Source organism: Homo sapiens, chromosome 12 (assembly GCF_000001405.40).
Source record: "Homo sapiens chromosome 12, GRCh38.p14 Primary Assembly".
Taxonomy (NCBI): Eukaryota; Metazoa; Chordata; class Mammalia; order Primates; family Hominidae; genus Homo; species Homo sapiens.
In genome coordinates, this window is record NC_000012.12 from 95434403 (window position 1) to 95461147 (window position 26745).

At 44.5% G+C, this 26745-nt stretch overlaps 1 long non-coding RNA gene and 1 pseudogene across 7 annotated transcripts in view, besides 1 other annotated feature; both read right to left on the reverse strand.

Annotated features, from left to right (window-relative positions):
* The window catches only part of LOC107984545 (uncharacterized), a 40761-nt gene extending 26464 nt beyond the window's left edge, over positions 1-14297 (reverse strand). For 2 of the 7 annotated variants that reach the window (XR_001749266.2, XR_001749269.2), the window contains exons 1-3: positions 8031-8082; positions 2352-2424; positions 2157-2240 (exon numbers count right to left, since the gene is read on the reverse strand). This is a non-coding gene — a long non-coding RNA (uncharacterized LOC107984545). Of the gene's footprint in view, positions 1-899; positions 1005-2156; positions 2241-2351; positions 2425-7445; positions 7478-8030; positions 8083-8984; positions 9117-13088 lie in introns of those variants that run through there. The other 5 variants (XR_001749267.2, XR_001749271.2, XR_001749272.2 and 2 more) reach the window with 5 other exon arrangements.
* RNU6-735P (RNA, U6 small nuclear 735, pseudogene) lies at positions 4335-4441 on the reverse strand (annotated as a pseudogene).
* Positions 18446-18670: a silencer, noted in NCBI's record as "fragment chr12:95846624-95846848 (GRCh37/hg19 assembly coordinates)". NCBI's record gives its function as "represses an EF-1alpha promoter that drives an FKBP-Casp9 reporter gene in an ReSE screen in K562 erythroleukemia cells {active_cell/tissue: K562}" and the evidence as "EXISTENCE:reporter gene assay evidence [ECO:0000049][PMID:32094911]".

Here is a 26745-nt window from a genome sequence, read left to right on the forward strand (position 1 = left end):
TTGCTTTTTGTTTTTTTTTTTTTGCTAATGACTTATTACTTGCCATTTATTTTATGTTTATTTTAGACTATGGAAATGAAGTTACACAAAAAGCAAATTTGAGTGATTTTCATATTCAAGTTCAAAGTGGGTCATAAAGCAGCGGAGACAACTTGAAATATCAACAATGCATTTAGCCCAGGAACGCTAATGAATATATAGTGCAGCGAGGGTTCAAGAAGTTTTGCAAAGGAGAAGAGAGCCTTAAGGATGAGGAGTATAGCGGCCAGCCGTTGGAAGCTGACAGCGACTAACTGAGAAAAATCACTGAAGCTGGTCCTCTTGCAGTACACGAGAAATTGCCAAAAAACTCAGTGTCTACGATTCTATGGTTGTTCAGCTTTTGAAGCAGATTGGAAAGGTGAAAAAGCTTGATAAGTAGGTGTCTCATGAGCTGAGTGAAAATTTAAAAATCATCGTTTTGAAGTGTCGCGTTCTCTTATTCTACACAACAACGACAAACCATTTCTAGATCGGATTGAGATGTGCGATGAAAAGTGGATTGTATACGGCAACCGGCGATGACCAGGTCAGTGGTTGGACCACAGAGAAGCTCCAAAGCACTTCCCAAAGCCAAATTTGCACCGAGAAAACGTCATGGTCACTGTTTGGTGGTCTGCTGCCGGTCTGATCCACTACAGCTTTCTGAATCCTGGCGAAATCGTTACATTCGAGAAGTATTCGCAGCAAATCGATGCGATGCACAGAAAACTGCAGTGTCAACTGAAAGGGCCCAATTCTTCTTCACGACAGCACCTGACCGCATGTTGTACAACCAATGCTTCAAAAGTTGAATGAACTGGGCTATGAAGTTTTGCCTCATCCGCCATATTCACCTGACCTCTAGCCAACAGACTTCTTCAAGCATCTCGAGAACTTTTTGCAGGGAAAATGCTTTCACAACCAGCAGGATGCAGAAAATGCTTTCCAAGAGTTCATCAAATCCCAAAGCACAGATTTTTACGCTACAAGATTAAACAAACTTATTTCTTGTTGGCAAAAATGTGTTCATTGCAATGGTTCCTATTTTGATTAATAAAGATGTGTGTGAGCCTAGTTATAATGTTTTAAAATTCATGGTCTGAAACCGCAATTACTTTTGCACCAACCTAATAGTAACTAGAGGGTTAAAAAAATGTGGAATGACTCACTATTTCATTCATTTTTGTGGGCTTGACACAATTCTATGGTGGTTAATAAAGAATCTTTATTAAGCGCATTCTATATGCCAAGCACTGTTTTTGGGGACTAGGGATAGAGAAGTGATCATGTACATTAAAAAATATATATATCCTGCCCTTGTGGAACTTATACTCTCATAAGAGGAGAGAGGGTAAACAAATAAATGGGTATATCATTTAGAATACTAGAAAGTGATAAGTGCAATAGAAAAATTAAGTTGGGAAAAGAGATGGGAGTGCCACGATGGAGCAGGATGGAAATCTAAAATAGAGGCTGGGTGCAGTGGCTCACGCCTGTAATTCCAGCACTTTGGGAGGCTGAGGTGGGTGGATCACTTGAGGCCAGGAGTTCGAGATCAGCCTGGCCAACATGGTGAAACCCCATCTCTACTAAAAATACAAAAAATTAGCTGGGCGTGGTGGTGTGCACCTGTAGTCCCAGCTACTCAGGAGGCTGAGGCAGGAGAATTCCTTGAACCCAGGAGACGGAGGCTACAGTGAGCCGAGATCGCACCACTGCACTCTAGCCAGGGTGACAGAACAAGACTCTGTCTCAAAAAAAAGAAATCTAAAATAGAGTCCTACTGCAACAGTAATATTTAAGAAAAGAGTTAAAGGGAATAGGGAGAAAGTTGTGCAGAAAGCAGAAGGAACATTAGTGCAAACTCCCTAAGGCACGAGCAGAGCTGGGTTTGTTGCAAAATAGCTGGGAAACCAGGATGAGTGGTTAATATGAACAATTATGTTTAAAGTAACCACTGGCCTGACTTAAATAAAGCTCTCTGAATGACTGCATGGTCAAATCTGAAATGGCAACTCCTTGGTATAGTTTTTCAGCGGATGAGGGAATGGGAAACCATTGGTCTTGAGCATCTTACGAGCCTCTAAAGATGTAAAGTAACACCAACAATTAAAGAATGATTCCAAATGTTTTACCTACACTTAGCTCTTGAGGTGCATTTTGGGTGGGATAACTTTCTTCACAGGTTATCTTTTCCCATCTTTCCGTTCAGGTTTCAACTAAAATAAAATAAAATGTTCTGAGTAAAATGTAGGGGGAAACACTGGTCAAAAGTGAATTGATTTTTAAAAAGTAAATTATAATTTGATGAGAAGGAGCAGTATTATTACCTGATCAAAGAAATAGATAGGCCCAGAGTCAAAGGGCTTGGCTTTGGTAAATTCCTTCATTCTGCCATGAGACCTGAGACAGAGCAATTGAAAATCTGAAGACAAATGATCATGTTCATGGATGATATTTCAAAGTACTTTATGGTTTTAAAGTTTAACTCTTCATTTTTTTTTTAAATATAGATGAGGTCTCAGCAGGTGCCAAGGCTCATGCCTATAATCTCAGCATTTTGGGAGGCTAAGGCAGGCTGATTGCTTGACACCAGGAGTTCAAGACCAGCCTGGGCAACACAGTGAGACCCTGTCTCCACAAAAAATACAAAAATTAGCCGGACGTGGTGGCGCACACCTGTATTCCCAGCTACTCATGAGGCTGAGGTGGAGGATCAATTGAGCCTGGGAGGTTGTCGAGGCTTCAGTGAGCTGCGATTGTGCCACTGCACTCCAGCCTGGGTGACAGAGTGAGACCCTGTCTCAAAAAAAATGAGGTCTCACTATGTTGCCCAGGCTGATCTCAAATTTCTGGCCTCAAACAATCCTCCCACCTCAGCCTCCCAAACACTGGGATTACAGGCATGAGCCATCATGTCCAGACAAATGTTTTATTTTCATCGAAGTATAAAAACACTGGGGGGAGAGGGACGCCACTGTTCCTTTATCTCCAACTTTATTTCATACACTATTGACTTGACATAGATACAATCAGAACTGAAAGCTATTGGCAAACAAAGCAATAATGGCATATTAATAGAGACTTTCTCAACCTCAGCACTACTGCCATTTGGACCAGATAATTCTCTGTGGCAAAGAGCTGCTTTGTGCATTGCAGAATGTTTAGCAGCAACCTTAGCTTTTACCTCGTCAGATGCCATAATATAACCTCTCACCCAGTTGTGACAACAAAAAATGTCTCCTGACATTGCCGATGGTTCCTGGGGGTCAAAAATCACCCCTGGTTGAGAACACTGCACAATGGCCAAAACAAACAAAAAAAAAGGTTTGTGAAAAGAGGAACTGTTGTCTGTGAGGATGGGTGGCACTGATGATGGCAGGGTCATTAAAGCAGTGACACTCAAAATGTGGTCCCTGGACCAGCAACATCAGCATCACCTGGGACCTTGTTAGAGATGCAAATCCTCAGGCCTTACCCAGACCTAATGTTAGAATCTCTGCAGGTGGCACCTGGAATCTATGTGTGGGCAAGCCCTCCATGGGATTCTGAGAACACTCAAGTTTGCAAAGTCCTAACCAGAGGGACACATTTTACTAAGCACTTCATAGCCACTAGCATAGTTATAATGAAAAAGACAATAAAAAGGGACACATTTTACTAAGCAGGTTGTGAAAAGCACATGACTGTGATTGGAGAGGAACTGAGGGGCTGGCTAAACCAGAGCTAAATGGCCTCAGGGATTTGCAGTGACCACCCAGCGGAGGACAGGGCACCAGCAACAACATGAGGACTGGGACACATGGTGGACTGAGGCTTATTAACTATTGTGATTATTGGCTGGGTGTGGTGGCTCATGCCTGTAATCCTAGCACTTTGGGAGGCTGAGGTGGGCGGATTGCCTGAGCTCAGGAGTTCGAGACCAGCCTGGACAACATGGCGAAACCCCGTCTCTACTAAAAATACAAAAAATTTACCAGGTATGGTGGTGCATGCCTGTAAGCTATTCGGGAAGCTGAGGTATGAAAATCACTTGAACCTGGGAGGTGGAGGCTGTGGTGAGCCGAGATCGCACCACTGCACTCCAGTCTGGGCAACAGAGCAAGAATCTGTCTCAAAAAAGCAAAAATAAAAACAAAAACAATAAACAAAACAAACCAAAAATAATTATTTGATTATTAATAATAATCATTTTCTGCGAATATACCAAAAAAGTTTAAAAAAAGAAAAAAAAGAAAATTTTAAGGCTCAGACTAAACTAGCCCTTCCTTAAAGAGGAGTAGGAGAACACCTTTATTTTTTTCTTTTTTTATTTTTTAATGGAACGCTTCACGAATTTGTGTGTCATCCTTGTGCAGGGCCCATGCTAATCTTCTCTGTATCATTCCAATTTTACTATATGTGCTCATTGTACAGACAGAAACTCTATTTGTTCCCCAGGCTGGTCTCAAAATCTTGGCCTGAAGCTATCCTCCTGCCTTGGCCTCCCAAAATGCTGTGATTACAGACATGAGCCACCATGCCCGGCCTGGGAAGAGCTTTAAAATGAAATTTAAGGGACACCTAAAGCTTCTGTTTATCTAAATTTTTCTCTCTAGAGAGGGAAAAATAAATTTCTCAGCCAGGCACTGTGGCTCACACCTGTAATCCCAACATTTTGGAAGGCCAAGTGGGGGCAAATCACTTGAGTTCAGGAGTTCAAAACCAGCCTGAGCAACATGGTGAAACCCCATCTCTACAAAAAAAATACAAAAATTAGACAGGCATGGTGGCACATGTCTGTAGTCTCAGCTACTCAGGATGCTGAGATGGGAGGATGGCTTGAGCCTGAGAGGCAGAGGTTGCAGTGAGCCAAGATAGCACCACTGCACTACACTCTGGGTGACAGAACCAGACTGTCTCAAATAAATAAATAAGTTCCCTATCTCATTGTCTTGCCACTGTAACTGAAGATTCCACTTTGCATGAATCCCATATCTCCAAAATCCCTGATTAAAATGTAAATTTAGGCATTTATGCTATAATATGCTGTATGCATTCATGAAAAACGTCACATCCTGCAAAATTGTGTGCACTGAAATTAATAGGACTTATAGGAAAAGTAGTGTGAGGGCAGACCACGGAAAACCTATGCCACTTTGTAACCAGAGCACAAAAGGAAAATAATAATTGGTATGGCAGGAGAAACTTAGATAGTCCAGGCAGCCGGTTGTGGCCAGAGACCGCTTCAGGAGATATGAAAAAAAAAAAAAAATCAACAGAGTATAAATGCAAACTTATGGGTACTGAGATAATGTGGATGGAAGTGGAGCTCCTTGCCAGTGAGTTCAACTTTAAGGTGGGCAGGGAAGGAAGTGAAACCTGCCAGAATCAGAGAGCCGTGGAAGACTGGGAGTGCACCATTCTGGGGAGGGAGGCTTTGCTACTAGTGCTCATTTTTAATGTTTGAGTTTTTAAAAAAGAGTTGACCCCATGGTGCACGTCTCTACTCCCAGCACTTTGGGAGGATGAAGTGGGAGGATCACTTGAGCCCAGGAGTTCAAGATCAGCCTAGGAAACATAGTGAGAGCTCCCCCATCCTCTCACCACCTGTCTCTACAAAAAAATAAAAAATTAGCCAGGCGTAGCGGCACATGCCTATTGTCCCAGCTCCTCAGGAGGCTGAGGTGGGAGGATCTCTTAAGCCTTGGGACGTAGAGGCTGCAGTGAGCAGTGTGCACCACTGCACTCCAGCCTGGGCAACAGAATGAGACCCTGTCTCAAAAAAAAAAAAAAAAAAAAAAAAGACAAGCCAATGTAAAATGTAAAAATGGGCAAATGATTTGGATAGACACTTCTACCAAGAATATATACAAATGGGCCAGGCACGGTGGCTCACGCCTGTAATCCTAGCACTTTGAAAGGCCGAGGCGGGTGGACCAGATCACCTGAGGTCAGGAGTTCAAGACCAGCCTGGTCAACAGGGCGAAACCCCGTCTCTACTAAAAGTACAAAAATCAGCCAGTCATGTTGGCGGGTGCCTGTAATCCCATCTCCTCATGAGGCTGAGGCAGGAGAATTGCTTGAATCTGGAGGGCGGAGTTTGCAGTGAACTGAGGTCATATCACTTCACTCCAGCCTGGGTAAAAGAGTGAAACTCTGTCTCAAAAAAAAAAAAAAAAAGAATATATACAAATGGTCACTAACACATGAAGAGATGCTCAATGGCATGAGTCATCAGATAAATGCAAATCAAAACCACAAAGAGATACCACTTCATATCCAGTAGGATAGTTATAATGAAAAAGACAAGAAACAGTGTTGATGAGGATATGGAGAAATTAAAAGCCTCATACACTGCTGGTGGGAATGTAGTATCGTGCAGTTCCTTTTGAAAACAGTCTGGCAGTTTATCAACTGTGCTATATAGTCTGAATGTGTTCCTTCAAAATTCGTATGTTGAAACTTAACTGCCAATGTCATAGTATGATTGGAGCCTTAAGGAGGTGATTAAATCATTAGGGCAGAGCCATCATGAGGGGGATCAGTGCCTTATAAAAGAGGCTTCAGGGATCCCCCTTGCCTTTTCTGCCATGTGAGGACACAGCAAGAGGTGTCACGTTTGAAGCAGAGTAAGCCCTCATCAAACTTCTTTTTTTTTTTGAGCTGGAGTCTCACTTTGTCACCCAGGCTGGAGTGCAGTGGCACAATCTCAGCTCACTGCAACCTCTGCTTCCCGGATTCAAGCGATTCTCTTGCCTCAGCCTCCCGAGTAGCTGAGATTACAGTCATGCACCACCACTCCTGGCTAATTTTTGTATTTTTAGTAGAGATGGGGTTTCACCATGTTGGCCAGCCTGGTTTCAAACTCCCGCCTCAGCCTTCCAAAGTGCTGGGATTACAGGTGTGAGCCACTGTGCCCGGCCCTCATCAAACATTGAATCTCATGGTGAATTGATCTTGGACTTCCCAGTTTCCAGAACTGTGAAAAAATGAATTTCTGTTCTTTATATATTACCCAGTCTAAGGCATTTTGTTAACAGCAGCCCAAACAGACGAAGATACCTAGCAATGGTACTCTTATATAGATACCCAAGAGAAATGAAAAGATGTCCACAACAAAAGTTGCACAGGAATGTTCACAGGAGTATCATTCACAACAGTCAAAAAGTAGAAACAACCCAAATGTCCACCAATTGATGAGTAGATAAGCAAAATGTGGCATATCCATACAATTGAATATATATATTTTTAATTCTTTTTGAGACATGGTCTCACTCTGTCCCCCAGGCTATAGTGTGGTGGCACGATCTTGGCTCACTGCAGCCTCGACTTCCCAGCCTCAAGTGATCCTCCCAACTAAGCCCTCCAAGCAGCTGCAACTATAGGCGTGCGCCACCATGCCCAGGTAATTTTTGTGTTTTTTTGTAGAGACAGGATCTCACCATGTTGTCCATGCTGGTCTTGAACTCCTGAGCTCAAGCAATCTGCCTGCCTTGGCCTCCCAAGGTGCTGGGATTATAGGTGTGAGCCACCATGCCTGGCCACAGCAGAATATATTCAGCCTCAAAACAGAAAGAAGTATTGATATATGCTACAACGTAGATGAACTTTGAAAACATTATGCTAAGTGAAAGGAAGCAGACATAAAGCCACAAATTGCATGGCTCCATTTATATGAAATATACAGAATAGGCAAATCCATTGAGACAGAAAGTAAATAAGTGGTTTCCAGGGATTGAGGGAGGGAGAAATGGAGAATGACTGCTAATCAGTAAAGGGTTTCTTTTTGGGTTGATGAAAATGTTGTGTAATTAGGTAGTAGTGACGGTCGTATGACCTGTAATATACTGAAACCACAGAAATGTAAACTTTAAAATGGTGAATCTTACATGCGAATTATCATAATTGTTTTAAAGGAGTACTGAAGAATCTCAGCCAGTTCCAGCTTCCACCCATACCCATCTAGAGATATGAACTGCCAAAGATCAGCTCCTCGAAAACATCTGAGCACCTTAAAAATTACCTACCTCTGGATCACCAGCTGCTGCCAGTTTTCAGACCAAAGAATATTAGAGATCTGTTGGTTCTGACCCCAAAACTGCTTTATACCAGAGTTCCATGCAGAACCTCAAGACCAGTTGATTCCGTTCATGCCTTTTGTCTTAGTGATCCTCAGTCACCAAAAGTGTAAGCTTGGAATTTCTGGATCAAGAGAAACTTGATAGGGTGCGGTAGCTCACACCTGTAATCCAAGCACTTTGGAAGGCCAAGGTGGGTGGATCACTTGAGGTCAGGAGTTCGAGACCAGCCTGACCAACATAGTGAAACCCTGTCTCTACTGAAAATACAAAAATTAGCCAGGCATGGTGGCAGACGCCTGTAATCCCAGGTACTCAGGAGCCTGAGGCAGGAGAATCACTTGAACCGGGAGGCAGAGGTTGTAGTGAGCTAAGATGCCACCACTGCACTCCAGCCTGGGTGACAAAGCGAGACTCTGAGGTATTGCTCCTCACAAGAGGGCATTAGCTGTGGGGGTCTGCCTGCAGACCCTGACCCAAACAATAGATGAATAACACGAGCATTGAGACACAGATATTCTGTGTTGCCAATCCTGCTGAGTGTCCGACCGCCTGCACACCAAGAGAGGTTTGTCACTGTGGCCAGCCTCGATCAGCTTGGGAGGCTTGCATTAATTCATTAAGATTAGTTAACAAAAACTTGAGACAACACCATTAGAGGGTAATTGACATTGTCGACTTCCTGAGTAAAAAGCATACATCAAAGGTTTAAGGCTTAAGACCATATGAGTAAACAAGTTAACTAGATAACTTCCTCACATCCCCTTGTTGACTACTCTAATTTATTTAACTAAAGGTAATGAGACCAGGCCACCTTCAGCCCGGTCTGTTACCGAAGTCATATGAAAACCCTCAGGCCTTCCAAAAGGGTTTTGTGGCTATCATAACTAATATTTTTCCCACCTGCCTGATCGAATCCCAACATCTCCCCCTTTTTTGTTTGCTACATCAAATTTTTTGATTGGAGAGCGCAGATAGGTGCAGCCACAGGTTTGTCAGGCGAGGTGGTCACTGCTCTTATTCCGGCTTTGCATCCTAGGATTAGCAAATAACACAAAACAATCATGAGTACAATTAGCAACATTCTTTTCTAGTCAAAGAGTGACATGTGTTACTTGGCATCTTAGTTTGATGTGTGCCATTACTAAGGAACCCCACTGGGGGTATGTTAACTCCTTCCAGCCAGGCAGTTACATTGTCAGAAGCTGGAAAGGGAGTGTCTGCTTAGATAACAGGGCTGAAAAAAGGCAGATTTAAGAGAGGAGCTTAATAGAGTCTAGCAGCTATAGGTAGTAGGCAAAGTGAGAGAATAAAAATGAGTAAATTATCTGGTTTAGCCTTCTGCTTCTTCAGCATAATGTCTGGGGCCTGTGTTGTTCGTGGAAGCCTCATTGTTGAGGCTGTGGGTCCTGTAGGGTTTTTGTTAGGCTGGCTTGAGTTTTTTCTTCTTTTTTTTCATCCCTTGATGAGGACATAGTCTCCAGGCTGGTGCTGGAAATTCTAGGGGTGTTGCCTGTGCTAAGAGACCTTTTACATTCTTTAAAGAGCAGGTTAGTGCTTTAAGAAAAACTAGTTGTGCTTTATTTTAATGTCTAGTTTACAGAAAAACTGGATGATACTTTCTAACTTTAGCCAATATGTTGACACACAGAATTTTTTTTTTTTTGCAATTAACATTTTAAAACTTGTTTAGACCTTCAAAACAAAAATCGTACATTTCCTGCATAAATTCCTTTTTATAACTTTTTCATGACTTTCACAGACAATCTTCAACGTGCCTTACCTTTCTATGTTTTATAACCTTCCTTACTAAAGGTGCATTCTTATAACTTTTCTAATATTTCCTTTCCCTTCTTCCTGCTTTATTTCTCTCCTTAGTACTTCTTTTTGTGTTCTTCTCTGATCTCTGTCTTTTCTAGTCTCTTTCTTACTCATTCTTTCCTTTTATTTCTCTCTCTAGCTGTGGACACAAGCATACTTTCTTCCTCATGTTAATAATTCACTTGGACCACGCCATTTATTACTGTTCACATCTTTCCATAAAATTGTAGGTTTTATGCCTTGAGAGGTTTTAGCAAAGTGCTTTTCTGCAGCTGATTGAAATTTGTCATATAAATTTTAAAAATTAAGGTTAAATAAAGCTTATGCCAGTAGTGTCGCAGTGTACTTACCTATATTTCCTTTTTTCCATTTTTTTGAGCATATTTTTAAGGGTGAAATGTGCTCATTCTACTATTGCCTGTCCTTGGGGGTTATATGGGATGCCTGTGGAATGCTGGATATTCCACATGTGACAAAATTGTTGAAATTGTGAGCTGGTAAGCTGGACCATTATCAGTCTTAATTTTTGTGGGTTGCCCCATAAATGCAAAAGTTAAAAGAAGATGTTTAGTGACATATCGAGTAGACTCTCCAGGCAAAGCATGTGCACTAATTAAATGAGTGTTGGTATTGTGTCAGGAGTTGATTCCTGCTGGTGGGTTGGTGGTCTCACTGACTTCAAGAATGAAGCTGCGGACCTTCACGGTGAGTGTTACAGCTCTTAAAGGTGGCACAGACCCAAAGAGTAAGCAGCAGCAAGGTTTATCGCGTAGAACAAAAGAACAAAGCTTCCACACCATGGAAGGGAATCCAAGTGGATTACCACTGCTGGCTGGGGTAGCCAGCTTTATTCCCTTATTTGTCCCCTCCCATGTTCTGTTTCTGTCCCATCAGAGTGCCCTTTCTTCAATCCTCCCCGTGATTAGCTACTTTTAGACTCCTGCTGATTGGTGCATTTTACAGAGTGCTGATTGGTACGTTTTAAAAAGTGCTGATTGGTGCATTTTACAGAGCACTGATTGGTATATTTTACAATCCTCTTGCTAGCTACAGAGCACTGATTGGTGCGTTTTACAATCCTAGCTACAGAGTGCTGATTGGTGCATTTTACAATCCTCTTGTAAGACAGAAAAGTTCTCTAAGTCCCCACTCGACCCAGGAAGTCCAGCTGGCTTCACCTCTCAGTATCAATGGATACATGCACCTATCTTAGTTTCCTAAATTCAGAGATGTGTGTAACATCTGTTTGCCACAAATGATTAGCTTCTGATCCTCTAGGGTTAACACCTGTTGAAGGAGGGGACATCCCTGTGAGCTGGCAATCTGGGCACATTGTAGGATAATTTGTTTAGCCAGCCTCTGAGTAAGTTAAAATTGTTTAGGTAAGTTTCTCTAATTTTGGTGGAAAAATTGATGAGATTGGGTGGCTTGGTCTAGCAGTGATGTCATAACCTGAAGGTATGCTTGATCATTGCCATAAGCCAATGGGCCAGGCAGAGCTGTGGGCTCGAATGTGTGTAATAAAAATAGGATGTGTACATTGATCTAGCAATTACTGAAGTCGGAGAAAAAGAGTAAACAGGGCTGGCTCCAAAGTGGACTTAATTAAAGCTGTTTCAATGTTTTGTAATAAATTAAATGGAGTATGCAGAATCGCTAACTATATTTATGGGCTGAGTGGAAAACGTTTCTAAGGCCAAAATCAGAGCCCCAATCGTAGCTCTCTGAGTGCTAGTACATCCAAATAGAGTGATTGAATTGTGTGGTCTCCACCAGATTGCCGCTTTTCCATGTTTACCAGCCCTATCAGTCAACAGTGTTAAAGCATTAGGTATGGGGGACTGAACTATTTGTGTAGGTAAAACATTTACCAGACTTTTTGGGAATTATGAAAATAGGTAAATTCCAAGGGCTGGTAGTAGAATATTACCTGCAAAATGAATAACCTTGAAATTACGAAACTTTTTTTTCTACTGGGGAGCAAAGTTTGCTTTTAATTGCTCCTAAACTAACTCATGGGCCTTTTGTAATGTCTCTCCCTTTAGAGGTTACTGTTTTACTTAAATTGGTTTTTGAGAAAATCACGTTAAGGGTAGGAGAGAGATAACAGTTGCCATGATCAGAAAGAGGTTTTCCAAATTCTTACGTTTTACTTAAATCTTAGCAGAGAGTTATAATCTGGGACGTCCTTTGTATACAAGGGACACACAGAATTTTGTCCTGGGCCGCCTGCGAAGCTAGAGAGCTGAGAGGGCGGGCCCTGGGGCAGCGGCCACTTTCAGCTTGTGCTACTTCTTTCGCTTGTGCCGCCCCCTCCCACTGCCAAGGCGCGGCTGTCCCCGGCTGGGTGGACTCGCGCGCGCGCCTCCTGCCCCACCCCAGCAGGCTAACACTGGCGCACTGGGCCTGGCTCCCCGCTGCTACTGCCTCAGCGCAGGCCTAGTTCCCAGGAGGATCCGCCAGCTCAGTGTTTGGGAGCTTCCTTGATGCTGAGCCTTTCCTTCCCTCTACTGCTCGCTTGGCCGCGCAGCTCCAGCCTCTAATGCTTTTTCTTATTTCTTTATGTACCTGATTACCTCGTTAATGTTGCATTACCGGGCAGGCTAAAAGCTCTCCTTTTAATTCCGCCTGCTTAAGATAGGGACTGATAGCTGTAGCGTATCCCTGGTTTTTTTTTTTCTTATCTATTGGAGGAGGAGGCTCAGGTAAAGGGAGACTTTACTCCGTTTCCTCTTTGTTATTTCGGCCGGCCGGGTGATACTAGGGCCGAAAGAAGAGGAGGTGATAAGGCAGGTGACATTTCCTCCTCCTTCCCGTTTTTAGGCTCTTCTGTGGGTAACTGAGCCAGGGGTGCTCTAATTAAAGCCCATAACGTTATAGAGATTTTACTGGGACCTGTTGCCTTTGCGCATGATGTTGCTTAAGATTTCTCCCCACTTGTTCCAGAGTTCTACATCTTTCGTTTCTTCTTCTGGGAACCATGGTCTTGGGATTACAGCAGTTTGTATTATTATGTCCCTTAATTGAGCCTGCGAAACTGATGCTCCACTAGCCTTAAGCAACAGTGTTTTAACACTTCTATATACTGTTTCTGTTGAGCTGATAACTGTTGTCTCATAATGAAAACTCAGCTTGAACCAACTTCCCCAAGAACTTGGTAACCTCGAGTGGGCACCAACGACTTACTGATTACTCACTGACTTGACCGCGTGGTCCTTCTTCACCTTCTTTTTCGGGGGTCCATCGCGTTCTTCACACTTCCTTCACAGCTTGCCTCACAAGGGGCTCCAACTGTGGGGGGTCTGTTTCCGCAGACCGCTGACTTTCCTCACACGGGGCACCAATTGAGGTATTGCTCCTCACAAGAGGGCGTTAGCTGCGGGGGTCTGCCCACAGACCCTGACCCAAACGATGGATGAATAACATGTACATTGACACACAGATATTCTGTGTTGCCAGTCCTGCTGAGTGTCCGACCCACCTGCACACCAAGAGAGGTTTGTCACTGCGGCCGGCCTCAGCTGGGCAGGCTTGCATTAATTCATTAAAAATAGTTAACAAAAACTTGAGTCAACACCATTAGAGGGTAATTGACATTGTGGACTTCCTGAGTGAGAAGCATACATCAAAGGCTTAAGGCTTAAGACCACGTGAGTGAACAAGTTAACTAGATAACTTCCCCACATCCCGTTGTTGACTACTCTAATTTATTTAACTAAAGGTAATGGGACCAGGCCGCCTTCAGCCTGGTCTATTACCAAAGTCATACGAAAACCCTCAGGCCTTCCAAAAGGATTTTGTGGCTATCATAACTAATATTTTTCCAACTAGCCTGATCGAATCCCAACAGGACTCCATCTCAGGAAAAAAAAAGAAACTTGAAGGCCGGGTGCCGTGGCTCATGCTTGTAATTCCAACTCTTTGGGAGGCCAAGGTGGGAGGATTGCTTGAGGGGAGGAGTTCAAGACCATCCTGGACAATATAGCGAGACCCCAATCTCTACAAAAAGAGAGAGAAACTTGAACTGAGCACACGTAACTTTCTTGTTGCTCCCAGTGTGTCCAGAGTTGGTTCCTGCCAGTGGGTTCGTGGTCTTGCTGACTTCAAGAATGAAGCTTCGGACCTTTGCAGTGAGTGTTACAGCTCTTAAAGATGGCGTGGCCCCAAAAAGTGATTGGTAGCAAGATTTATTGTGAAGAGCAAAAGGACAAAGCTTCCACAGTATGGAAGGGGACCGGAGCGGGTTGCTGCTACTGGCTGGGGTGGCCAGCATTTATTCTGTTATTTGTCCCCTCCCATGTTCTGTTTCTGTCCTATCAGAGGGTGCTTTTTTCAGTCCTCCCCACGATTGGCTACTTTTAGAATCCTGCTGATTGGTGCATTTTACAGAGCGCTGATTGGTGCTTTTCACAGAGCACTGATTGGTGCATTTTACAAACCTCTTGTAAGACAGGAAAGTTCCTGATTGGTGCATTTTACAAACCTCTTGTAAGACAGGAAAGTTCATGGCCGGGCATGGTGGCTCACACCTGTAATCCCAACACTTTGGGAGGCTGAGGCGGGCGGATTACCTGAGGTCAGGAATTCGAGAACAGCCTGGCCAACATGGTGAAACCCCATCTCTAACTAAAAATACAAAAATTAGCTGGGCGTGGTGAAGGGTGCCTGTAATCCCAGCTACTTGGGAGCCTGAGGCAGGAGAATGGCTTGAACCCAGGAGGTGGAGGTTGCAGTGAGCCGAGTTTGCGCCACTGCACTCCAGCCTGGGGGACAGTGAGACTCTGTCTCAAAAAAAAAAAAAGAAAAAAAATGACAGGAAAGTTCCCGAAGTCCCCACTCGACCCAGGAAGTCCAGCTGGCCTCACCTCTCAATGCCCCCTCTAAACAGGACACCCCAACTGCTGTTGGGAAATGGGCAATGACCGCTCTAGCTACTTTCTGCTGGATAGGGGCAAAGAAGGGGCCCTGCAGTTGTAGTGTCCTCCAGAGGGGAACTCTCTAGGCCAGTCAAAGAGCCAGTGGGTCAGTACAGGGGTCCTTGGTAGAAGCTGTGAGTTGAGCTTATTTGGGGTTCCATTTGTCAGACCATCTATAGTTTGATGGCCTCAATCCTGGAGGAGACAAATTTTGACAAGGAGGTTAAAAATACGGGACCCAAGCAAGATGGCTGTCACGAGACCTAAAAAGGGGAGAAGCCATGTCGCCCAACTCCAGAGGTTGGTATAAGAGTTTGAAAGGCGTTGTCTGATTTCAGAAGCCTTTTCCTATAAACACTGGGCAGCGTCTCATACTATCCCTGACTGATTAGTGTAAAAACAACACTCTTCCCCTAAGAAGATGCAAAGTCCTCATTTCTCAGTAGTGAGGAGGTCTAGACCTCAGCGGTTTTGGAGAGTCACTGCTGCCAAAGAGTCTATTTGGGATTGTAGAGTAAGGATAGATTTTGTTATTTCTTGCCAACTGTCTGAGAAATCCTTTGAGAGTGTATGGTAGTAGGATAATGAAGTAGATAAACTGGCTATTCCAGTTCCTGTAGCTGTGGCCATTTCTAACCCTGTAAGTAAGGGTATTAGTTGTATGACCCTGTGCTGACAGACTAGAGCTTTGAGGGGCACTGATAGGGTCTGATTTCCTGGGACAATGTCAATGTTGGAACTTAGGAAGACTAAGGTGCAGGTGTCTGTCCAGTTGGTGGGGAGGCAGATATAGGTTGAAGTTCCACATAAGAAGAATATGCCTTGGCTGGGTAGACAGAAATGACTGTGTATGTTAAAAAGGTGTGTGAGTTTGTTGTTTTCATTTTCCCATACTCATAGAGTACTTGCCAAGGTAGCTCTGGTGAGCGGCTGGAAAGAGGTGTTGGGAGCAAACTGAGTGGCTCCCTGTGTTCTATTTTCCCATTGGAGAAAAAACCATTTTGTTATCTACTAGGAACCATTCAAGAGAGTAGCTGAAAGAGGGGATGAGAAGACATTCACTAGTGGTGGGGGCGTTGCTGCAGGGGGTCCAGGGGTGAATGGTCGTGCAGGGAGTATGTTTGCCATTATAAAACCTGGACTGTTTGTTAAGCAGGGAGGAGGTGATGATTTTTGGAGGCCCTGAGAACCAGACAAGCCATCTGAATGGAGCTGTTTGGGTGACTCGGAAGTTACTATGATCAGTTGGGGCTTGAAGTTGTAGGGTGTAATTACACTGATGGGATAGTAGATGCTCCAGGGGCAGGCCTGATAACAGGTTGCTTTGGATGCATAAAGGGGCTTGGAAAGTTAAGACATATTCGTGGTTACAGGGCCGTGTATGGGCTTTTCATTGCTCGTGTAATAGGTGAGGTTGGCAACGTAAGAACATAAAAGCTGGATTACACATCCTGTTACGGTATTTTTGGTCCTATCAAAGATGAGGAAGTCGGCTAATGATTATATATTTAGAAGTTGGAAAGGATGTCTTCTTTCATAATGGGGGTGGTAGGTTATGTTAGTAAAAACCCCCCCTTTTTTTTTTGCGGGAATGGGAGTGGCAACGTAAGCAGTGGCTGATAGAGAGATACAAAGCTGACAGTAATTTGCCAGGGAAGGATTGGACTGGTTTAACAGAGAGTGGGTTAAGTTGAGAGTCTTGTAGAGGTAATTAGGAGCTAGTGGAAGGGGAGGGGCGACTATGTGGGGTATCCAAGGAAGCAGGAGGGATACATAGGCAAAGAGTAAGTAGGAAGATAAAGAGGGTCCCCTGGAAGATGAGGTCATTTTATTCAGTCTGAGTTAAAGGTAGGAGTAAATTGCTGTTAGAGGGAAGGACGATAGAAAAAAGGTTGATGTGATTAGGATTTTTGTCCCAGCAGGAGCTACAGTATATAGTTCTGCTGCAAAGAGTATGGTTAATATACTGCTTAATAACGTGATGAAACAGTAAAAGGATTCCATTAAAGGGGAAAGGAGAGGTGTTAAAGATTATGTAGGTTTTCACTTATCTTTTTAAGTAGGAAGGGGTTTTTCCTCAGGATCAGCTGTGGGAGCCTTTTTAATCTGGGACGTTTCCTTCCAAAATAGGAGACGCAAATCCTTCAATGGTTCACAGGTGTATCGAGGCTGGTCTGGCTGAACTTGGGACGCCTGAGCTGATGATCCCGCAGGTTCTTCAGGGGGTGTCCAAAGTTTAACTTGGGTGTAGTGAATCCAAGATTCCACTCCTGCCACCTTAACTGCAGTGGGGGTACAGAGGATTACTGAGTTTGGTCCTTCCCACAAGGAATTCATGGATGGGGAGGTAGAGGAGAGGGACTTGACCAACACTAGATCTCCCGGTTGGAACAATTCTGTTCCCTTGTCTCTGTGACATCCTTCGGGTAGGTTTTTAGGGTTTTGTTGATATTTTGCCAAGGAAGTTATATCCTTGACCTAGTTGGCTGTTTCCTGATCAAGTAGGAGGTCATCTGTGAGAAAAGGTCGTCCATACAGCATTTCATATGGACTGAGCCATATTTTGTGAGAAGAATTTCGGATTCTTAACAAGGCCATGGGAAAAAGAGTAGGCCATGGGAGATGAGTTTCTTGTATTAGTTTCCTTAAGTGCCTCTTGAGTGTTTCATTTGCCTTCTTGACCTTCCCTGAGGGTTGTGGCCTCCAGGAGCAGTGAAGGTGATATTGTATCCCTAGCACCCTGGAAATTCCCTGAGTTACCGTGGCTTTAAAAGTCAGACCATTGTTGCTTTGTAAGCTTTAGGGAAGCCCAAATCTATATTTCATGAATTAGGACTGTAACCACTTCCTGAGCCTTCTCTGTCTTGCAGGGGAAGGCTTCTGTCCAATTTGTAAAGGTATCAACACAGACCAACAAGTATTGAAATCCCCTTGACTTAGGCATATGGGTCAAGTCTAACTGCTAATCCTCTCTGGGATAGTGCCCTATTCTTTGTTCCCCAAGAGGGGCCTTACAATGGACCAAGGATTATTCCTTTGGCACACCTCACAGGCTTTGACTACTTGTCGGATGGTCCAGAGGAGATTTGGCCCTGTAAATAGGGATTTGGCCATTTGATGAGTGTTCGCAATACCCATATGAAAAGTTTAGTGGAGGGTCTTAAGTATTTTCCACTGGCTGGCTTCGGGTATGAGTACCTTTCCCTCTTCTGTCGTTAACCACCCCAAGGGGAGAAAACGATGAAAGTGCCCCCTGTGAAAGTCCCCATTCTGTTTTGGTTGGGGAATACTAGGGCTTAATCTCTTGGAGAGGGTTGTTCCATAGCAAGGGTCCTTCCATAGGTATTTCTAATGGGAGGTTCTGCCTGGCAGCAATTTTGGCCTCAGCGTCTGCCTGACAGTTTCCTTCTGCCTTCTCTCCTTCATCTTTTTGATGGCTTCAGCAGTGTAAGATTGTGACATCCTTGGGTTTTTGCATTGCATGCAATAACTCCATGATTTCTTTGTGGTATTTAATGGGGGTTCCCCCATAGGTTAGGAACTCCCTTTCTTTCCATATTGCAGCATGGGCATGTAGGATTAGATAAGCATACTTGATATCTGTATACACATTTATTCTTTTTTCCTTTCCCAGTTCTAAGGCTCGGGTAAGTGCCACTAGTTCTGCTAACTGGGTGCTGGTCCCTGGGGGAAGAGGCTTACTTTCAAGTACTGTCACTAACTGTGGCATAACCTGCCCTTTGTATCCCATTCTCCCCAAATGAACTTTCATTGGTATGTAGGTTAAGGTCAGGATTAGCTAAGGGGACTTCTAAGAGATCCTCTCGGGTGGCATAAGTCTGGGCTACAATTTGTTGGCAGTCATGCCCGATTGGTTCCCCATCCTCTGGGAGAAAAGGGTTGAGGGCCGCACACATGCATATTTGAAGCACCAGTCCCTCAAGGAGTAGCTCCTGGTATCTAAGCAGGCAGTTGTCTGATAGCCATAAATTTCCTTTGGCACCTAGTATGCCATTTACATTATGAGTAGTCCAGACGGTGAGATCCTTTCCTTATATTATTTTGACAGCCTCTGATACTAAGCTGGCCACTGCCACAACTACCTGTAAAAAGTGAGGGCAGCCTTTTGCTACTACATCAATTTCCTTACTTAGGTAGGCCACTGGTTGTGGGGTTGTCCCACGAGTCTGAGTAAGGACTCTAAGAGCCCTTCCTGCTCTCTCTGTAACGTATAAAGAGAAGTTTTGTCCTGTGGGAAAGCTTAAGGCTGGAGCTTGTATTAGGGCCTACTTTAAGGTTTTGAAGGCTGTTTCTGCCTCTGGTTCCCATTCTATTAGATGAATATTTGCCCTCTGAGTCTCCTTGATTAGAGTATAGAGTGGCCTGGCCATCTCACTGTATCCAGGGATCCATAGTCAGCAAAAGCTGGTGATCCCAAGGAACCCCTGCAACAGTTTTAATGTCTTAGGGCAAGGACAAGCCAGTATAGGCTGTATTTGTTCTTTGCTGAGGGCCCAGGCTTCCTCTGGCTAAGATTAGGCCTAGATTTTTGACTTATTATAGGCAGATCTGGGCCTTCGATTTAGATGCCTTGTACCCTTGCTTAGCTAGAAAGTTCAAGAGATCTAGAGTAGCCTGCTGGCATAAGGCTTCCGAACTGGTCGCCAAAAGTAAATCATCCACATACTGAAGGACCAGAGTGCCTGGACTTGAGAAGTGGCCTAAATCTTGGGCCAGTGCCTGACCAAACAGATGAGGGCTATCCCTAAACCCTTGAGGCAAGACTGTCCATGTAAATTGGGATGTGTGGTCTGTGGGATCCTCAAAGGGAAACAGAAACTGGGAGTCAGAGTGCAGGGAAATGCAGAAGGTGGCATCCTTGAGGTCCAGAACAGTGAATCATTCTGCTTGCTCTGGTATTTGAGAGAGCAGGGTGTAAGGGTTGGGTACAACTGGATATAGAGGAATTACTGCCTCATTGATGAGTCTAAGATCTTGCACTAGTCTCCACTGACTGTTCAGTTTTTGTACTCCTAAATTGAGGTGTGGCAGGGACTGCTGCATTTCCTTACTAAGCCTTGAACTTTTAAATGTCTAACAATGTCCTTTAATCCTTTATGAGCTTCAGGCCTTAAGGGATATTGCTTTTGATAAGGAAAAGTGGTAGGGTCTTTTAGCCTGATTTGGACTGAGTGGGCATTTTTTTGCCCTTCTGAATTGTCCTTCCAATGCCCAGACTTCAGGGTTAATTCCCTCCTCAAGTAGGGGACAACAAATGGGTAACTTGTTCCCGATATTCATATAGATAATAGCTCCAGCTTTGGCCAATATGTCCCTCCCTAATAAGAGTGTAAGACTTTCAGGCATAACAAGAAAGGCAAGTGAAAAGAGCAAAGTCTCCCAATTACAACTGAGGAGGTGGGAGAAATACCTGGTTACAGGCTGTCCCAGGATTCCTCAGGTGGTAACGGACCTTGGGGACAGCCATCCGGGGCAGGAGATTAAAACTGAGTAGGTCACGCCAGTGTCCAGGAGGAAGTCAATTTCCTGGCCCTCAGTGGTTAAACTTACCTGGGGCTCAGTGAGGGTGATGGCATGAGCTGGCGCTTGCCCCAGGCACCCTCAGTCCTGTTGTTGGATCATCTGGTTGGGGGCTTCTGGCCCAGAGAACCTTGGTCCTCTGGGGCAGTGCACCTTCCAGTGATTGCCTTGGCATAGTGGACGGGGGTGGGGGGGCAGCTTGTTTCTCGTTGGACAATCTTTTTTAAAGTGTCCTTGCAAACCACACTGATAACAAGCCCTACCAGGTGATTGGCCTGCTCCGTTTTCTGGCCTCTCTGAACCACCAAGGTTTGTTTGCCTGAGGGCCATGACTAAGGCTGTGGCCTTTCTCTTATCTCGCTTTTCCTTTTCGGCCTGTTCCTCTTGGTGCCTATTATAGAACACTGAGGTTGCCAGATTTAATAATGCCTCCCAATTTTGTTCAGGGCCCAGGGCTAACTTTTGGAGCTTTCTCCTGATATCTGTGGCTGATTGGGTAATAAACTTCTCTTTTAGGATCAATTGACCCTCGAGGGAGTTGGGTGACAGGGGAGTATATTTTCTTAAGTCCTCCTGTAGTCACTCAAGGAAGGCGGAAGGATTTTCTTCCTTTTCCTGAGGACATCATTGAATAATTCATGGGCTTTTTCCTAATTCTCCTTAGTCCTTCTAGAACACAGGTCAACAGATGTTTGCAACTCCAGTCCCCATGATCTGAGTCTAGGTCCCAGTGGGGATCCATACTATGGATGGCTTGCTGACCAGTAGGGAATTTGTCCCTTTCTTCAGCTGTCATTCTATCATTTACTTGACTAAGATACCAGATATCTCCAAACTCTCAGGCTGCAGCTAAAGCCACATTTTTTTCATTAAAGGCCAGGGTTTGATCTAACAATAGCATGACATCTCTCCAAGTGAGGTTGAAGGTTTGCCCTAGACCCTGTAGGACATCTATATACCTATCAGGATCACCTGAAAACTTCCCCAGGTCTACCTTGATCTGCTTTAAATCAGAGAGAGAGAAGGAGATGTGTACCCTGGTTGGGCCAAATTCCCCTCCCCCTACAGCTTGAAAGGGACATAACCGATAGCCTGAGGGGTTTTGTAGCCCCTTAGAGATTTCTTTGGTTGTTTCCTTCTGGGTGGGGGAAGTTAGAGGAGGCTTACAATTAATAGGAAGGGGAGCTGTAGGGAGGCTAGGATATGGAGGTAAGCTGAGAGGCCCTCCTGTGGAATGTAAATTGCAAGCTTTGCATAGTTTTGGATTATCCTTCTATGAAAAGAAAGCTTGGACATAACGTATTTCACTCCATTTGCCTTCCCTCTTACAGAAAAGGTCAAGCTGAGGAGGTAGGAGACATACCTGGTTACAGGCTGTCCCAGGATTCCTCAGATGGTAACGGACCTTGGGGACAGCCGTCCAGGGCAGGAGATTAAAACGGAGAAGGTCACGCCAGTGTCCAGGAGGAAGTCAATTTCCTGGCCCTCAGTGGTTAATCTTACCCGGGGCTCAGTGAGGGTGACGGCATGAGCTGGCACTTGCCCCAGGCACCCTCATTCCTGTTGTTGGATCATCTGGTTGGGGGCTTCTGGCCCAGAGAACCTTTGTCCTCTGGGGCAGTGTGCCTTCCAGTGATTGCCTTGGCATAGTGGACATGAGCGAGGGGGTGGCTTGTTTCTCGTTGGAAAGTATTGTAATTTATACTTCCCTCAGGTGGCCATTTTTCCCCATCAGAGAGAGAATGTTGGGGCCAGACCATAGTGCAGAAAAAGAAAAGCCCTTCTTTTTCAAGGTTTGCAGGTCAAATTGGTCCCAATGGCTTAGGATGCATCTCAAGGGTAAGCTTGTTGATGCCCGAGTGTTTCCCATCTGAAAGAAAAAACTGCCCCTGTTTTGGTCTGCTTTTTTTTTCCCCGCCCAAGAACCCACAACAGTCCCTAGACCCTGCTATTCAGAGTAGTTGTGCTCACCGAAGCAGCAGTGGAAACACTAGTTTTCCTCCTAGACCACAAAGAGGACTGAGGAAGTTCGGATTTAGTGGCCCTTACTGATGCATTCTTGAAAACCTGCACCCTTGCCTTTCCTCTTAGACCACAAAGAGGACTGAGAAAGGTTGGATTTAGTGGCCCTTACCAATGTATTCTCAAAAACCTGTTAAAGTCCTAAGCGATTTCTCCTGTTGGTATTGGGACCTTACCCTTGTCCTATAAAGATGATATGCCTCAAAATGAAGTGGAGGGCCATACCCTGAGGGAGAGAAGGGATCTCCAGGGTTGGAAGAGTGACTCCTTTTGTCCTCACTTCTCATCATATGAATAGGAAGGATATCCCCCCAAATTTGGAGTCTGTAATTTCTGTGGCTCCCCATATCCTAGCTTCGGGAATAGGCTTTGTTAGGCCTGCTAGTCTGACGAGGGATCCTAAAATTCCAGATAGTGCCCCCACTGATGGGGCTTCAGGCAAAAATTATGTCTTTCTGATTGGTGAGCCCAGGTGCCTAAAAAAGGGAGCAGAATCCCGAAATTTATATTATAAATCATCCTTATAGGAGAAACTAGAAGAGCACCAGGGACAGGGAGTGGTTTTTAGACTCAGGACTAGCCTCAGAAAAGAGAGGTGGGAGGAAGTTTGTCTGACAGGCATTAGGACCCAGGAGGCAAGGGTCAGGATAGATAGGATAGGTGGGCAAGTCTCGCTTGGGTGACATAACTTTGAGAGTTCCACTCATGGCTGCAGGGTCAACCACTTTTTGTCAGGACCCTGGAGCTGAATGGCTTTCCTCTCTGTTGACCCTTGGCTCAGCCCAGAAGTGCAGGAAAAGCAGAAGCTGGTTGCAGGCAAACCAACACTTCCGCTTCCAAAGAGTCAGAGGTTATTAGAGAGCCCTTTCCCAGAAAGCCTGACACCCGTGTCTTTAGTACAGCAGCCACACTAGTTGCTTTTAACTGGCCAACAGATGCCCAGTGTTTAGTCCCTGAATTCTAAGGAAAAATAGGACAGAATAGCAAGTGAAAGGGGTCTGATGGTACTCACCACGTGGCAATATCCTGGACGAGCCCACAAGATATGTCAGGAGTTGGTTCCTGCCGGTGGGTTCGTGGTCTTGCTGACCTCAATAATGAAGCCATGGACCTTTGCGGTGAGTGTTACAGCTCTTAAAGATGGCACGGACCCAAACAGTGAGTGGTAGCAAGATTTATTGTGAAGAGCAAAAGGACAAAGCTTCCACAGCATGAAAGGGGAACTGAGCGGGTTGCTGCTGCTGGCTGGGGTGGCCAGCTTTTATTCCTTTATTTGTCACCTCCCATGTTCCATTTCTGTCCTATCAGAGTGCCCTTTTTTCAATCCTCCTCGTGATTGGCTACTTTTAGACTCCTGTTGATTGGTGCATTTTACAGAGCGCTGATTGGTGCATTTTACAGAGCACTGATTGGTGCGTTTTACAGAACGTTGATTGGTGCATTTTACAGAGTGCTGATTGGTGCATTTTACAAACCTCTTGTAATACAGGAAAGTTCCCCAAGTCCCCACTCGACCCAGGAAGTCCAGCTGGCCTCACCTCTCACCAGGACCTTATTAAAATGATACTAAAGGAATTTTTTTTTAAATCAATCCACAACACATAAGACAGGAGCAGGGCTTCTGGGGATGAGAGTTATAAAAGTTCTGACTGAAATTTGATGAAGGAGAGAAAAGTCATGAAATAGTGTGGAGGAAGCACAGCCAAGAAGTCAGTAGAATAAGATGCTTTGAAAAGGGACCCAATTAGCCCTGCAAAACCTCTGAGAAATTCAGGACTTGGAAACACTAAGCAGGCCAGAGAGTGGGACCTGGGGCTTAAAAAGGAAGAATTAACTTAAAGTTTATATCAAGAATTAAGTCAGCAAGTCTACTCTTACAAGCATAATGTCTGCAGTTTAGGTGTTTCTCCATCTTCTAGGAAAAAATACAACAACAGCAACAAAGCTAAAAAAAATAGAGTGTTCTCTTCTAAGAAATTTAACAAATAATCTGGAAGCATTATGGAAATTAGAAAGGAAGTTCACATTTAAGCACCAAGTCCTGTGTATTCTGGAGTTTGCATCACTTAGGATGACTTTATTTATAGGTATCAGAAATCTCTAATTCTAAAAATGTGGAGATGTGATATCTTACATGTTTGAATGTAGAGTGACTAGGATTTCCCAATTCAATGGCTGAATGACACCATCAAGGGCCCAGCATCATTCCACCTCTCTGTCCTGTGCTCTTCATATCCCCAGGGATTATTCATAGACTTGAAAACATCTAAAGAAGAAAAGAAACGATATTTTGGTCTCTTTTTTTAATTTGAAGCACTTTTTCCAGAAGTTCCCAACGGTTTTACCTCCATGTTTTTGTTTTTGTTTTTGTTTTTTGAGACAGGGTGTCTCGCTTTGTCACCCAGGCTGGAGTGCAGTGGTGCAATCTTGGCTCACTGTAACCTCTACCTCCTGAGTGCAAGTGATCATCCCATCTCAGCCTCCTGAGTAGCTGGGATTACAGGTTTGTGCCACTACCCAGCTAATTTTTAAAGTATTTTTTGCAGAGCCTGGGTCTCGCTATATTGCCCAGGCTGGTCTTGAATGCCTGAGCTCAAGAGATCCTCCCACCTCAGCCTCCCAAAGCACTGGGTTTACAGGTGTGAGCCACCATGCCTGGCCCTCCATGTTTCATTGACCAAAATTGCAACACAAGCCGATGCCTAAACAAACCACTGGCAAGAGGAATTGGAATTCTCATGTATTAGTTTAGCCAAATCAGGATTTACCCTTGAGTTAAGGACAGGTTCACCTAGCTAGGCAGAAAAGCGTGGACACCTGAACCCAAAGAAGGATTATGTTAGCAAGGGAAAAACTAAAAATGAATTCTGGGTAAGCATCCAACAATGTCTGTTTTCCAAAGTACATGGTCTGCTTTTCATCCATTCACACTAAAGCAAACCTCCTAATTGACAAAGCTCTACCTAAAAATACTGAGTTCCCAGTCAGTTTTTCTACTGCATCATTTAAAAACAAAAAACTGGGCTGGGTGTAGTGACTCATGCTTGTAATCCCAGCACTTTGGGAGGCTGAAGCAGGGGTGGATCACTTGAGGTCAGGAGTTTGAGACCAGCCTGGCCAAGATGATGAAACCCCGTCTTTACTAAACATAGAAAAATTAGCCAGGAATGGTGGTGGGCACCTGTAGTCCCAGCTACTCGGGAGGCTGAGGTGGGAGAAACACTTGAACCCGGGAGGCAGAGGTTGAAGTGAGCTGAGATCGTGCCACTGCACTGCAGCCTGGGTGACAGAGTGAGGCTTCATCTCACTAAATAAATAAATAAATAAATATAAATAAAAACTGGCAAGCAAAGCCCACCAGATGTTGACAGAAAGCCTGCAATGTGGAAGTGCTTCCACTTTCAGCCTTGATGTAGGAAAAGGACTGATACTGGACAAGACTTCCCATTATACGCAGCTGTCAAAGTTGGAAAAAGAAATAAGTCCTTTTAGACATCCACCAATAGGAAACACAGAACTGTGATACCAGATGACAGGGAAATGATGCAAGATTCACAATCACCCTGGCTCTTTGTGTGGAAACACTGTCTTGTGTGGTGGTATCTCTGAGCTGAGGAGACATATCAGAGAGAAAGAAGCTGCACAGAAAAGAAACTCCAGGCCAGGTGAAGTGGCTCACACCTGTAATCCCAGAACTTTGGCAGGTCAAGGTAGGCACATTGCTTGAGGTCAGGAGTTCAAGACCAACCTGACCAACATAGTGAAATCCCATCTCTACTAAAAATAGGAAAATAAGCCAGGTGTGGTAGCATGCACCTGTAATCCCAGCTACTCAGGAGGCTAAGGCGGAGAATTGCTTGAACCTGGGAGGTGGAGGTTGCAGTGAGCTGAGATCACACCACTGTACTCCAGCCTGGGTGACAGAGTGAGACTCCGTCTCAAAAAAAAAAAAAAAAAAAGTAGCCGATTGCAGTGGCATGCGCCTGTAATCCCAGCTACTCAGGAGGCTGAGGTGGGAAGATTGCTTGAGCCCAGGAGGCTGAGGCTGCAGTGAGTCAAGATTGTGCCACTGCACTACAGTGACAGAGTGAGTGATAGAGTGAGATTCTGTCTCAAAAAAAAAAAAAAAAAAAAAATAGAGAGAAGGAACTCCAGAAATCTGCTCGGGGAAAGACTCCATGAGTCTAGGCAAAGTATTTCATCTAGCTCTAAGCTTTCTTTCATGAACACTTGATATTAAATCCTACACAGCCCTGGCCAATAAGCACTTGAAAATTTGCATGAGGGCTGGGTGTGGTGGCTCATGCCTGTAATCCCAGCAACTTGTGAGGCAGAGGCTGGAGGATCACTTGAAGTCAGCAGTT